Below are 12,471 nucleotides of genomic sequence, written 5' to 3' on the forward strand. Positions count from 1 at the left end.
GAGTGGGAGGAAGGATTACAAAGGTGCATGAAGAGATTTGGAGGTGATAGATACATCCGCTGTCGATTGTGGTGATAGTTCACAGGTGCATACTTATGTCAGAATTGACCAGTTGTATACTTGAAATATTGGGCAATTTATGACAATTATGCCTCTGAGCAGCTGCACAGAACTTTCTGCAGAGCCTAGTGCATCACTGTGAGGTTGGGTTAGGGGTTTAAAAATGTGCCCATGTTCTTTCAGTCTCTGGGAATGATGAACAGGTATACCCAATGGGTTTGGGTTTTAGGGCATGAAAAACTATGCTAATGAAATACTGTTTGAGCACTTGAAAAATGCCACTATTTTTTGTGGAGTATTACAATACATCTGAAATAATCTGTTCCTGTATATAAATAATATAAAAAAGCAAGGCTTCCTGTAGTGTATGACATTGTCAAATAGGTCAAGCTTCAGTGCAAATGCTTTGAAATTGGTACAGTAATTCCTGGCTGATTGTTTTTGTTCTCCAAATGAATATGCTCAGGTAAAAGTGATGGTTGACTCAGGAGACCGGAAGCGAGCCATCAGTTCTGTGTGCACCTACATTGTTTATCAGTGTAGTCGGCCAGCTCCTTTACACTCCAGGGATCTGCACTCCATGATAGTGGCAGCTTTTCAGTGTCTCTGTGTCTGGCTGACAGAGCACCCTGATATGCTTGATGAAAAGGTGAGTTTATTTTATTTTAAACCATTAAGTAAAAACAAAAATGTATGCTAGCAAAATGCCTTTTGAAAGAGAATATCTAAATTTAAATACAGTATTGCACACTTTAAACTGAAAATACTTGTTAGATTACAGTGGAACACTTGTCCTTTTGGGTACAACTTGAAAACTGTCATTTTGCTTATATTTGGTTGCAAATTAACTCATAGAGAAATTGTTTAGAAAGATGAGACCTTGGCTAATTTATCTGAGCTATCAAGATTGTTCTTTCTTGAAAGGATGGTAGCCTGGAGATAGCTAGTAGGCACTTTGGTCACCCTTCACCAAACAAAGAAGGGCAGATGATTGCCAGGCTGCAAACCTAGAGCACAGCTCATCTATAAAGGTTGCTTCTATCGAAAAATGTTACTCCATACTCATTTCTTCATTCTCAAGTGGATGCAGATAACTAGTCCATGTTCCCTACCATTGTTCTGTGTAATGTCTTCCTTATAGGGAAGCAGGTGTTATAAGGAATTCACAGTGCAAATCAAAGGAGAGATCATTGGATATTTATAGAAACCTTTATGTAGTTTAAGGAATAATATTGTTGATTAAATCTTAGTCATTTTCATTATGGCTTCTGAAGTTGTAATACCAGAAATTACTTAAAAATGTCAATGACAAGATTTCCTTTGGATATTATAATATGTCTTAAACCATCCCCCTCCTTTGATAGCTAAGTCCAGAGATGGTGTCTGTCTCTCTGTGGTTACACTATCCCAAGCTTAACTGAATTACTATTTAATCTCTTAGATTTGTGCTTTTGTGATTTATAGTCTTCAGTAATTTCACAAGAAAGTTGAATTGAATTTATTTATCTAACACTCTAAACACCAAAATTTAGTTCTTTAATGAGAAATTGGGGGGAGGGGGTGTAAAGTTTATTATATTACTATGAAGTTAATATATATCCATTAAAGAAATTACCAAGAAACTGGAGCCCTTCCACCAAAACGCAACCACTGTTAGCATTTGGATGGATTTCCTTGTCTTCTCATGAGAAAGGTGTGTTCTAAAAATTGATCTGCCTTTCCTGCTTTTAGGACTGCCTTAAGGAAGTACTGGAGATTGTGGAACTGGGTATCTCAGGAAGTAAGTCCAAGAACAATGAGCAAGAGGTCAAGTACAAAGGAGATAAGGAGCCAAACCCTGCATCTATGAGGGTAAAGGATGCTGCTGAAGCCACCCTAACATGGTATGGAAGTGACCGCACAGGGATTGTGCCTAGGAATTAGATGGGGTTAGCAGTGATCCATGTTGTTTCATTTCCTTCCTGATTGTTCAGCATTGCGTGATGCAGCCCCTTTAGAATATACTTTTTCTCCAGAAATAAAATGGGAAGAAAATCTCTATTTTTTTTTTACGTGTTTTGTAGACCAAAAGAAACTAGGAACTTGGGGTTGAGAGTTTGAGTCCTTTTTCTATACCGTTTGATGTTAATTCAAGTAATACTGTGTTAGAGCTAGACTTACTGTACCCCCTCACTTTGATAGCTAAGTCCAGAGATGGTGTCTGTCTCTCTGTGGTTACACTGTTAGATCTGCTTTCCAGCTCAGTGGTCTGTATTCTCTGCTATACCATTTATATTACATAGTATAGGTTCATTCAACCAAGATTTATGAACTCTCTTAACAACTGAGAATAGGATCTTAAAGATAAGTCTGATTTAGTCACCACTACGTCTACCATCTTGTCTGGTAGGGAAGATAAAATATGAACACAAATAGCTATAATATTAGGTGGAAAATAAGTGCTGCAAAAGAGGTATAAATAAAATGCTGGGGAGTTGAAAGGAGAAAATGAATACTTCCAGATAAGGGGAAGTCAGAGTAACATTTCTTGAGGAAAATGACACTGGACCTGACTCTGGGAGGATGGGTCAAGTTTGAGCTGCAAGCCAGAGTACAGGGTGGGTAAAAAGGCACCACGACTGCTGTTTTGAGAATTTTGGTGTAGTAAAGTGGTAAAGACAGGGAGTTTGGTACCTTGAAAAAGAGTAGCAGAGAAAGTTGAGAGAGTTTTTGTTTGGCTTGTAAGTGAGCATACTGGAAAGAGGGAAGGAAGGCAGCTTAGCCACATTTGTGGACTGAATGGAACAGTTAGTGGAAATTAGGTGGAACCATAGTACACGTGGAAAGATGGGGCTTATGAAAGGATATGTGCAGATGAAGGCTCAGAAAATGTAAAAGCAGAAAGGAGGAGTGGCAAGTTAGTGTGGGCTGGGGCATCTTGGTCTTAGTAAAGTAGCAGGCAAAACCGCTTGAAAATTCGTGTGTAAGTCAGCCCTTACCAAGATCCCAGCATCTTCTGTGAGTTCAGTGGCCTGTTGCTTGCTTGGGACATGCACAGTGAAGTTGGATTTGTTTCTATTCCTGTGGGCTTAAGTCATTCAGTGAATTTTTAGAAGAATGCTTTCTGTCATTTAGTCCTGCTCACTATGCAAATGCTGGACTTTCGGTGACTTGATGGAGGTTTGGCTAATAGCTAGAAAATTAAAAAAAAATGTGAATACAGCTACTGAAGCATGTGCTTATGCTGATGATGAATACTAGAAGTAATATAAGTTCAGAAAGAAGACCATGTGTGGGCCAGGGTACCCTTAAAAGTGTCATAGGGCTGGGCGCAGTGGCTGCACTTTGGGAGGCCGAGGCGGGTGGATCACAGGGTCAAGAGATCGAGACCTCCTGGCCAGCATGGTGAAACCCCACCTCTACTAAAAATACAAAAATTAGCTGAGTGTGATGGTGCACACATGTAGTCCCAGCTACTCAGGAGGCTGAGGCAGGAGAATCGCTTGAACCCAGGACACGGAGGTTGCAGTGAGCCGAGATCACACCATCCTGGCAACAGAGTGAGATTCCATCTCAGAAAAAAAAAAGTGTCATAGAACTAAAACTTGATGCATGTCTTAAAGAGTAAGAAGGATATGGAGAGAAAGGAGGGGACATTTCTCACTAGAAACTCTTCATTATACAAAAATAAGCTTGCTCCATCCTAGCCTGGATGGGGTGTTCTTTGAGTGCATGGCTAGCAGTGAGGATTGGATATGTGCTCAGGGTGAGTAGAGTCTTGGGATGCTTCTTCTCAACCTCACCAGTAAGCTACATGGCTCATCTGTTTCGCTTCAGCTGTCTTGTCTCTGCTAGCAGCTTGACAAATGGTATCTCCAGTTTTCAGTCTTAACTGTCATCATGAAACGTGTCTCTAACCAGATTTCTCTGTTCTCTCACAATTGCTGCTTTATGTTAGTATCATTGCTGTTTGCCAGTTATGCAAACACAGAACTTTGGCTGTTTCTCTGATTTATCTTTCTGTCATTCCCCATGTACATGAGCCAGTGACTGAGTTAAACAGACTTTATTTTTGTAAAGTATTTCCTCCATCCCCTCCAACCTGGATAGCATCCTAGTCCAGGCCCTCCTCACTTCTTGCCCAATTGCCCTATTTTCGATCTCTTAGCCCTTCTTGTTCATTTTGTATTCTATTGCAAAACTCATCATCCTTAAGCACAATTTTGATCCTGCTGCTTGAATGATTGAAAACCTTGAGTAGATCTGTTTCCTTCCTTGTTGTCTAAACTCCTCAATCTGGTTTTTAAGGGCACCATCTGATCTTTTCCACCACTGCTTTGCAACTTGTCTGTTTTGCCGTTGTCAGGCCTGACAGAGCACTGTGGCTATGAACTAGCCATGCTTATACCTGCTTATGCTCTTCCCCTGGGTTTCAGGACCTCTTTTTTCTTCACTTGGCTACATCCTCCGCTGTTCAGTGCTTATAGCAAATCTATCTACCTCCATGGGGCCTTTGGTTATTCTGCTTCTGAAGATGACTCTTTTCTGTACTTCCGTGCTCATTCTGTCTGACCCTGCTGCACGGCATGGAGTTTTATACTGTCATGATTGTACCTGGTTACATGTGATCCGTGCTAGTGTTGTCTCGCCAGTCTGGGGAGCACATTTACCTCTTTGCCAACACAGTGCTGAACACGTAGTAGAAAATTATGGAGTGCAGATTAGCTGGTTAGGTTTTTTTTCCTCTCTGTGTACACTAATACAAATTCAGGATTAGGGCTCTTGGAAGTCATTTCAACAGTCCCTTTGCCTGTCACCTTTAAGACATGTGTACCAAGTTATTTAGCCTCTAATTTGGAGATTTTCTAACCCCCAAGGTTGCCCATTTCATTTTAATTGTTAAAAACTTGATACTTTACATTGAGCTAAAATCTCTCCCACTTCTATGCGTTGGTTCTAATTCATACATTTGATCGTTAAATCCTTTTTGTCCAGGCAGTAGCAGTATCCAGAAGCAGTCTTCATGTTCTCTCTGGTTCATTTCTGCTGTTACCTTCAGTTTTTTTTTTTTTTAAATATTACAAAGATTCAAGTACCTTTATCATCCTGGTTATTCTCAACTGGCATAGATTTGACTATGAGCCTCTTACAGGTGGTTTACAGAGTATAATACTCTATTATTTTGTATTTTTTTCTTGAGACGGAGTCTCGCCCTGTCACCCAGGCTGGAGTGCAATGGCATGATCTTGACTCACTGCAACTGCCGCCTCCCAGAGTCAAGCAATTCTCCTCCCTCAGCTTCCCGAGTACCTGGGACTACAGGCACGTGCCACTACACCCTGCTAATTTTTGTATTTTTAGTAGAGACGGAGTTTTGCCATGTTGGCCAAGCTGGTCTTGAACTCCTGACCTCAGGTGATCCATCCACCTCGGCCTCCCAAAGTGCTGGGATTACAGGTGTGAGCCTTCTGCACCCAGCTGAGTACAGTATTCTAGATATGATTTGATGATCTTTAAACTCTATATAATACTACATTTTCATTAAAATGTACTCGGACTGCATTGCATTTTTGAGAACTTGATGATTTGCATTAAGTCAACTAAAATCCTTGAGTTTTTTTTCACACGTTTACCTTTCATGTGTTTTTCTCATCCTGACTTGTTTGGGAGTGTTTGAAAGTAATGCACAGAACTTTACATTTAAACCTGAAATTTCTTCATCTAAGATTTACCTCATTATTTTTAGTCTTTAAGATTCTTTTGGATCTCAACTCTTTCTATGGTATATTATCTCTGCAGCTCTGCTTTTGGGCAACTGGACATTTAATGAGCATATCCTGTGTGTTCTAAATACCTTGATAAAAATATTGAACAGATAGACTCGCAAAGCACATCATCAGAGCACTTCCTTCAGGTCCACAGGGATTTTTAAATTTAGCTACAAGTTCATGATATTATATGAAATGTTATTTCATATAATATGAAATGGGAATAATAATGGTATATGGGAATAATAGTGGTACCTATTGTTAGGATATTATGTGAATTGTTGTGATATTATGATACTATATCACATAATATTATAACAATCCTATCAGATAGGTACCATTATTCCCATTTTATAATGAAGGAACTGTAGCACAGAAAGAAAATATCTTAAAATGAAGATTTTATCTTGTGGTTCTAATATCATCTGGCCCTTCATATGCATCTCAATGGGAAGACCAGTATTCTACAGCACCACATTTGTCATCTCAACTCTCAGCTTGAATGGCCTCTCCTCTTTCACTCTAAGGTTTGAACCTAAAGCTCTCTAACAATGGAGAGCAACATTGCTCAACAGATTATTTTTCTTCCATTTCCTCTCCTCCTAAAACGAAGACTGTCTCAGAACTTCAGGGACCAGGAGAACTTGGCATTAAGTTCAGGCCTCTAATGGTTTGCAGAAAATAGGAGAAACACCAGGAGATCAATAATGAGAAAATATGGCTTTTAAACACCAGGAGATCAATAATGAGAAAATATGGCTTTGGTTTTCTAAAATGGGATAGAGACGGTTGTCACAAAGCATATGGAATATGAGCTTGCTGTGTTCCATGCAAGATTCTAAGATATCAGATAGGTTGCTGGTAAGGGAGTAGGTCACTAAGATCAAATTATACCAGCCTAACTGCATTTTCTGTTCCGGATATTGACCAGACTGGAAAGGCAGATTAAATGTCTCTGAAATAAAGACATACAGGTATGCATCTGGGGTAATGGGCTTTTTAATCTTGGAGGGGAGAGTCTGGACAGCATGCCATGGCATTCACCACAAGGAGTAAATCTGACCTGTCAAGAAGCATGGCTGTGGTCAATTAAAATTCAGAAGAGTGGAAGGGGACACATTGATGCACAAGGTAAACTGAAGATTTTGCTTTGGGAATTAACTGTTATCTTTTCCATTCTCCATAGCATTATGCAGTTGCTCGGCGCATTTCCTTCACCTAGTGGTCCTGCCTCTCCTTGTAGTCTTGTGAATGAGACCACTTTGATTAAATACTCCAGGCTGCCAACCATAAACAAGCATAGTTTCCGGTACTTTGTCTTGGATAACAGTGTCATCCTGGCAATGCTGGAACAACCTCTTGGAAATGAGCAGAGTAAGTTTATAGTACTTTGAGCCTTCTCTACTGCTTAATCAGTGTTACCAGTACCATGAAGCTGTTTCCAGGATCAGGGAAGGACAGCCTACAGATTCTAAGTAGGTCAGAAAGATTTCTAGCTGTGGGACAATAGCACCTGAAAAATAGGGGGGCAAAAAAATAGAATATACATATTACATAGAGTCTTTTAAAGGCTCTTGATGTGCATCTGAACTAGCTCTGTAGTTTTATAAAAGGTGGTGTTTTAGTGGGTTCCATTGTGTTGTTTATCTTTGTCACTTTTTCTTCCCCCTTGAACTTCGGATCCTGCCCCTCTGCTCCCCTCCCTCTCACTCCTCATGTTCTGTATCAATTGTTGGTGCTACCTACACAGGCTAGAAACTTGAGGAGTTATCTTTACCTGCCCCTTCCTGTTACTCACTTATATAATTAGTTTCTAAGTTTCCATCTTCCCAGGGACCCTTGAATTTTTCCTTTCCTCTGTATTTTCCCAATACATCCAAGTGCAGGTCCTTATTATTTCTCACCTAGATTATTACAGCTGTTTCCTACCTACTCTGATTCCCTCAACCCCTAAACCCCTTGCCAGTTCTAACATGTGTTTTCCCTACTTTCATCCTACTTGCTGCCACCATAGTATTCATCTTCAACCACAAATGACCATGCCAGTGCCCTACTGAAAATCCTTCAGTGATTTTCCATTAACACAACATGCACTGTTTTCCTCCTTTCCCTCCCCCTCAGTTATAAGCCATCTCACAATATGTGATTATCACTGCGACCCAAACTATCCACAAGTACATTTTTTTTTTCTGATGGTAATTGGCATCAGCCAGTATGTAAAAGAAGCATGTTCTCAGACCCTTATTGCTGGGAAGGGGAAGGAAAGTGAAGGTTACAGAATCTGTGGGTATAAAGTGACCCATGGAGTCACCTGGTATACAATTCCCTTAGTTATGAGTGAAAAAACTCAGGCTCACAGAGGGTATATGACTTGCCCAGGGTTACTTGGGACTAGAGCCCAGATTTTCTAAACCCTGTATTGTCCCTTTCTATTATTATTGTCGCACAGTGATAGGATTTGCTCAGTGATTAAAGATTTGCCTTCTTGCCTTTGTAAAGGTGAAGAGTTCTGTGCCAGTTTTGTTGATTATATGAGTAAGAGCTCATAAATCCATGAAGTGAAAGTGAGACATTTCCCTGCAGTTTGAGATGAAAAGAATACCATCATAAACTTCTGTTGTGTTGTGGTGAGATGCGGTGACATTAATGTGAAATGGAATGGTGCCTTTTATTATTGTCTAACTTCAGAACTGCTACTCCCAAGTCTTTTCTACAGGCATCTCATCCTTCTCTACCCTAGACATGGAGCTTGCTTGGCTTTCTTTCCTAGCCTGTGCCTGTTCATGATTCCTCCAGCCTCCTACTCCAAGCCATCTGCTGAGGAGTCTGCAAAATCCCAGTGTCCCCTTCAGGCTTCCTGGCCTTTTTCCAGCTTTTTAAAGACTCTCCTACTTTCATTCCAAATAATTTCATTGCATAGGAAGTGTACCAAAAATACAAGCAATTGGAATTGTATAGATTTACAAGGACATTTTAATAGTTTATTGTAATAATAAGAAATTATAGAGAAGTTTGAAGGCGTTTGACTCCCATATCTGAGACGGAAGAATAAAAAAAAGGATCTGGGTCACTCGGGAAGTCCATCCTGAGTGTTTTTTTTAACACCCCCATCATGTCCCTGAACTTCTGCTGAGATGGAACAGTGCCTGCCTGTGGTGGGCAGTGGTACACAAAGGCATGGGCAGATATAACACTAACACTGCAAACACCCAGTCTGTCTTTCTACACTTAAGTTGTTCCCAACATTGGGAGGTTAAGAGTATTTACTAGGACAGTGTTTCCCACAAATGTGTACATGTACCATTGGAGGTATGTGAGATGATCTTAGTTGATACATTAGTGAACATTATTTTATGTATTTTTAAGCATGTGCTTTAAAATTATATAATTAGTACATGCCAAAATTCATGATTTTCCATTTAGAGATGCACAAGAGTGGTTGATACAAAGTAATAGTACTTACAGTACACGGGTATGGGTACGGCAGAAACCACAGAAGTGGTACACAAAAGATCAAAGCTTAGGAAACACTGTTGGGCCTTTGATTATGAGAAGCTCTGCAGTTGATAACAAGTTTATTTTAAATGGTTGTTGTCTGAAATTAAAACTTTTATATACATATTTTATTCTAGATGATTTTTTCCCCTCTGTCACTGTGCTGGTCCGGGGAATGTCTGGAAGACTTGCTTGGGCACAACAGCTTTGTCTTTTACCCAGAGGAGCAAAAGCAAATCAGAAGGTATTCATCAGAAGTTACAGGGAAGTGTGTGTGTGTTTTGTAATTTAAAGGTTAGGTAACATTCCAACAGAAGACACAGATCAAATAAATATTTTTGATCCCTAGCCAGATTCTCAGTCAGTGGGTTCATATCAGAATCATCTAGGAACCTAGAATTCCAGATGTACTCAATTACTCTTTAAAGACATGTTCAAGGCAGGTGTCTTTTCAAAAAGCTTTCCAGGTGATTCTGACATCTACTTAGGAGTAATTGCTGTTGTGGACAATGGCCCCAGTTTTTTCCATGTAATTTTACAAATGTAATAAAAGTCAGATATATACCATACGTGAAAAAAATTTGGTGGGACTTTTGATTTGTCCGCAACAGGACTTAGTTTGAAATTGTTTTATATGATTTGTTCTTATATAATAATTGGTAATATATTGTATAAATTTTATTTTTTTTATAAAGAGTCAGGGTCTTGTTCTGTTGCCCAGACTGGAGTGCAGTGGTGTAATCATAGCTCACTGCAGCCTCAAGCTCCTGGGCTCCAGTGATCCTCTTGCCTCATCCTCCTGAGTAGCTGAGACTGTAGGCACATGCCATGGCACCCAGCTCATTTTTAAAATTTTTTGTAGAGATAGGGTCTTGCTTTGTTGCCCAGGCTGATCCCAAACTTCTGTCTTCAAGTGATCTTCCCACCTCAGCTTCCCAAAGTGTTAGGATTACAGATGTGAGCTGTCACACCCAGCCTAATTAAAAAAAAAAAAAAAAATATATATATATATACACACACACACACATACATATACACACACACACACACATATGTATGCTGTGTATAATTTAATGAAATCTTTTGGGGTGCAGTTTATTTTATTACATTTGTAATTATGTGAATAATACTTGAGAAGTTGGAAAAATTCAGATAACGAAGAAATTTTAAATCACCTTTACTCACTATCCAGAGGAATATAACCACTGCTAATATTTTATTGGATTTCCTTCCCTTTTTTTCTTTTCATACACAATAACACTTGAATAGAATTTGAGTCATTTTGTATACTGCTCTTTTCATTTATAACATTGTAAGCTTTTATTTCTGCTATTAAAAATATAAAATGTCCAACAATGATAGACTGGATTAAGAAAATGTGGCACATATACACCATGGAACACTATGCAGCCATAAAAAATGATGAGTTCATGTCCTTTGTAGGGACATGGATGAAATTGGAAATCATCATTCTCAGTAAACTATCGCAAGAACAAAAAACCAAACACCGCATATTCTCACTCATAGGTGGGAATTGAACAGTGGGAACACATGGACACAGGAGGGGGAACATCACACTCTGGGGCCTGTTGTCGGGTAGGGGGAGTGGGGAGGGATAGCAATGGGAGATATACCTAATGCTAGATGACGAGTTAGTGGGTGCAGCGCACCAGCATGTCACATGTATACATATTTAACTAACCTGCACATTATGCACATGTACCCTAAAACTTAAAGTATCATAATAAAAAAATGTGATTAAAAAAAATTTAAAATGTGACTTAATATTTCACTAGCATTTGAGAGACACCACAAAATTGGAGCATGTGCCTAAAATCATTTAATATCTTAGATGTCTCTGTTAGATGTGATGTGTTTATCACCCAGTCCTCCATTTTTTTGGAGGGGGCAGTACAGAGCACATCCTGTCATCAACTCTGTAAGCCAGTAAGTTAGCATTGAAGACTGAAGAGGAAGGGGACCAGGAAAGGAGCTAAAATTTGTTTAGGGTTCACCATGTACCCATATACATATTAAAGCATGGATTTGGAGCTGTGAAGACCTAGATTTGGTGCCCATACTCTCAATTAAGCCGTATTAAGATTCTTGTTAAAATCACTTTCTAGAGATGCCCAGTGAAGCCAAACTTGTCTTTAATTATATTGAATGATGTGAGAGCCCCTGGGGAAGAGAGTTTGAGTCTTAAAGCTCCAAAATGCTATACCCATTGGATAACCACTGAATGTGGGAGATTCAGGCCTGCAGCAGTAGAGGTCCACAGCCCATTTGTCAGTCATTAGATCTATAAGAAGTCGATGAATATTTTTAGAAAAATAGAGTACACAGGGGCACAGGCTGCTTCCCTTTGCTGTTATCTGTAGCATTTGCAGGTTCTGAGTGAGTTTTTGTGACATGTAATCCTAGGGAAACACAGGCATCTAAGAGACCAGGGAAATACATGTCATTACAGATGGGTATTGGACCCTGTGTAATAAACATAATGTTACTTGTTTTAACAGCTTTTTGTACCTGAACCTCGCCCAGTTCCTAAAAATGACGTTGGATTTAAATATTCTGTGAAACATCGGCCATTTCCTGAAGAGGTGGACAAGATTCCTTTTGTGAAAGCAGATCTCAGCATTCCAGATTTGCATGAAATAGTCACTGAAGAAGTAAGTACATTATTTTTAGCTGTTGTCAAGGGGATGAATAGAAACATTCTTACGACTTCCTTGGTCAAGACAATGCTTTTAGTGTTGTTGGAGATGATTTTTAAGATGACATGGGCCTCCATCATCCAGGAGGTTGCCATGTTTAAGACGAATATAGATTGTGGCTGATCGAAAGGAACTGCATATCTCTTAGAGGTGTTGCTGGGCTGCCTGGCTGTTCGTGGTAGGTTTCAGTACTGTAGTGACATGATCAGACTCTGGTAGTAGAGTTATTTGGAAAAGGAAGACCAGTTCAGAGACTATTATGAGAATCTAAGTCTTTATAAGAAAGGAAGGACTATTTCACTCATATGGAATTTTAATATATAAAATGTATTGTGGAGGTAGATCCAAGCAGTCTTGAATTGGTGAGGGAAGGAAAAGAGCCAAAGAATTTCAGATTTTGAGCTTGAGTGACAAAGAGATATCAGTGCCATTTACAGAAATGCAGACATTAG

At 39.5% G+C, this 12,471-nt stretch overlaps 1 protein-coding gene across 13 annotated transcripts in view; it reads left to right on the forward strand.

Moving 5' to 3' along the window:
* The window catches only part of RALGAPB (Ral GTPase activating protein non-catalytic subunit beta), a 106,016-nt gene that overhangs the window by 66,407 nt on the left and 27,138 nt on the right, over positions 1-12,471 (forward strand). For all 13 annotated transcript variants that reach the window (NM_020336.4, NM_001282918.2, NM_001282917.2 and 10 more), the window contains 5 exons: positions 527-709; positions 1,792-1,943; positions 6,994-7,181; positions 9,440-9,546; positions 11,822-11,974. In NM_020336.4, coding sequence (NP_065069.1) covers positions 527-709; positions 1,792-1,943; positions 6,994-7,181; positions 9,440-9,546; positions 11,822-11,974 — 783 coding nt within the window. The remainder of the gene's footprint in view (positions 1-526; positions 710-1,791; positions 1,944-6,993; positions 7,182-9,439; positions 9,547-11,821; positions 11,975-12,471) is intronic.

This window comes from Homo sapiens, chromosome 20 (assembly GCF_000001405.40).
Source record: "Homo sapiens chromosome 20, GRCh38.p14 Primary Assembly".
Classification (NCBI taxonomy): domain Eukaryota; kingdom Metazoa; phylum Chordata; class Mammalia; order Primates; family Hominidae; genus Homo; species Homo sapiens.